This window comes from Homo sapiens, chromosome 1 (assembly GCF_000001405.40).
Source record: "Homo sapiens chromosome 1, GRCh38.p14 Primary Assembly".
Classification (NCBI taxonomy): Eukaryota; Metazoa; Chordata; class Mammalia; order Primates; family Hominidae; genus Homo; species Homo sapiens.
The window spans coordinates 191,161,953-191,164,363 of record NC_000001.11 but is presented as its reverse complement, the minus strand read 5'-3'; the positions used below and the strand labels follow the sequence as shown (position 1 = coordinate 191,164,363).

General features: G+C 28.2%; 1 annotated feature.

The window, feature by feature from the left end:
* Positions 438–638: a silencer, noted in NCBI's record as "peak594 fragment used in MPRA reporter construct". NCBI's record gives its function as "represses an SCP1 promoter by STARR-seq MPRAs in K562 erythroleukemia cells {active_cell/tissue: K562}" and the evidence as "EXISTENCE:reporter gene assay evidence [ECO:0000049][PMID:32103011]".

The following is a 2,411-nucleotide window of genomic DNA, read 5'->3' as shown; positions in this document are numbered from 1 at the left end:
ATCGCGCCATTGCACTCCAGCCTGAGCAACAAAAGTGAAACTCTGTCTCAAAAAATAAATTAAATAAATAAATAAATAAATTTTGTTTCTATAAGACGATTTGATTTATGTTAAATAACATGGAAATTGTCAAAGATTAGCTAATGACAAATCTGAACCAGAATCTTGGTCACCTAATTACCCTTTATTTTTTTCTCCTTGTGAAGCCTAATTGTTGTGTGTATGCACATATATATGTCTGTGTGTGTTCAACTCTACATTTTTTGTGTGCATTGCCTTTGTGATAACCGATTATACTATATTTCGTATACAAATTTCTAGATAATTTATAACTTACTGTTTGCATGCACACACACAAACAAATCATGTCTACAGTTTTCCTTCTTAAGTTTACTCATTTAAACTCACTGGTGCCTGGTACATCTCAAGTACATTTTCACACTGCATTTCAAAACACTGAGGACTTCCTAGGAGTACCTTGAGTTGTTTCTGGGAGACTTTTAAGTGACCATACAATATGCAAAGCAACTCCAAGGATTTGTTTTTCATCCATAAGGAAACTAGATTTTATCAAGCAAATTAAACAGTGTTCATCTTTGTTAATACATGACTAGGAGGTACTGAAAAAAAAAAAACCTGTGAGATCATTTATTGTTTACTCTTTGTTGCTTGTTTTGTTTTCCTAGAAGCATACAAGATAAATTGTCCTTTATTCTGTACATAAGCATTATTTTTGTAATTTTCACCCGTTACTACATGGGAATAATTAGTAGGAACTATTATCTTCCCAATTAATTAATGCAAAAGTACTACAATATGCTGCAAAGGCACTTACAAATCTTTGCATATATTTAAATTTTGCAAATGCTCTCTAAAGAACAAATTTTAATATGACTTATATTCCACTAAAATATGTAAAGTATTTTACAATAGTTTAATTACATTAAAATGCTAATTAATGACACTTAGCAGAAATCAAGGGCTTTCATATAAAGGGCTCAAAGTGTCAGGAAAATTGCTAATTTATTAGAGCATTACAACACTATAATTTAACATTGTACCCCATATTCTTTAACAAATTAATTTTAAACAAAGCTTGGGAGGACTTAAGGAGTTGATGAATAAAGTTGAAATTGCTAAACTTTATATTAGTTACTAAGAATAAGAGGAGTAGAAAAATACATAATAAAAAAGTAGTATCCTGTAACTCAAAAACCCACATCAAGCTTTTTCCTGATAATTTTAATAATTCCAATTTTTTGCTAAAATATGATGTGTTTGAAAGAGAAATTTTTACAAAACCACAGCAACATCATAATTAAAAGTAGTATTCAAAATATCTGTTACCTGTTATTTTCTTTCGGTCTTCTTTCTTTAAACTTACTTAAATGACTATTAGTCAGCAGTTTTATCTCCTAAAGTCATGTTCTTTTATTTCTCTACATATTAAAGTTTTCAATAAAACCATAAAAAATGAAGCTGAATATAAACACCCTAAATCCTGTATGTTTGTGAAGAGCAGCGACTGATAATTAAACAGACATGTAATGATATTGGTATTGATGCAGCAAGTGTGTCATAATAAAGAAAATTGACTATGAGTAAGAAGAAATGATTTGGGCTGGGTACGGTGGCTCATACCTGTAATTCCAGTACTGTGGGAGGCCAAGGTGGTTGGATCACCTGAGGTCAGGAGTTTCAGACCAGCCTGGCCAACATGGCAAAACCCCATTTCTACTATTAATTGTATTTAATTATATTATATAACAATAACAGAATATATAAGTATGACATATAATTTATTACATGTAATTATTATATAATTATTATTATATCTATTTATTATTATATAATGATAGTTATATTTAATTTGATTGAATTATGGTCAGTGAGCATTGCCTTTATTGAAATATACATAACTTCCTTTAATAAAGTAAAATGCATCATTATATGACATATATACAAATATATATTATATGTAAATATTAAAATATTACATTTTAAAATGTTACACATTTATAATAGCATATATATTAAATATACAGATATATTATCTTTTAAAAATTAATCAATAATCTTTCACCAGATTTTCTCAATTCAAAATTTCTTATTGTAAGCCCTAAACAAAATTCGACAATAAGATAATCCTTTTAAAAAATAAATTATAGGTTGCATTGTAGGGCTTATCATAATTCAGAGCCATGTCACATTAGGACTTAAGCTATTTGGCTGATTTTCATTACTTCTGTAGGAAATTATTTATAATTGTATACAGCTGCAATATATACCCTAGTGTGTAGCTTACTATTTCAATGAACATAATGTTGGTATCTTCTACAGTAAATCTAAAAGAAATTCTCATATATTATTTTTACATTATACTGTCTCTTCAATTTTTTACAATCTCATTA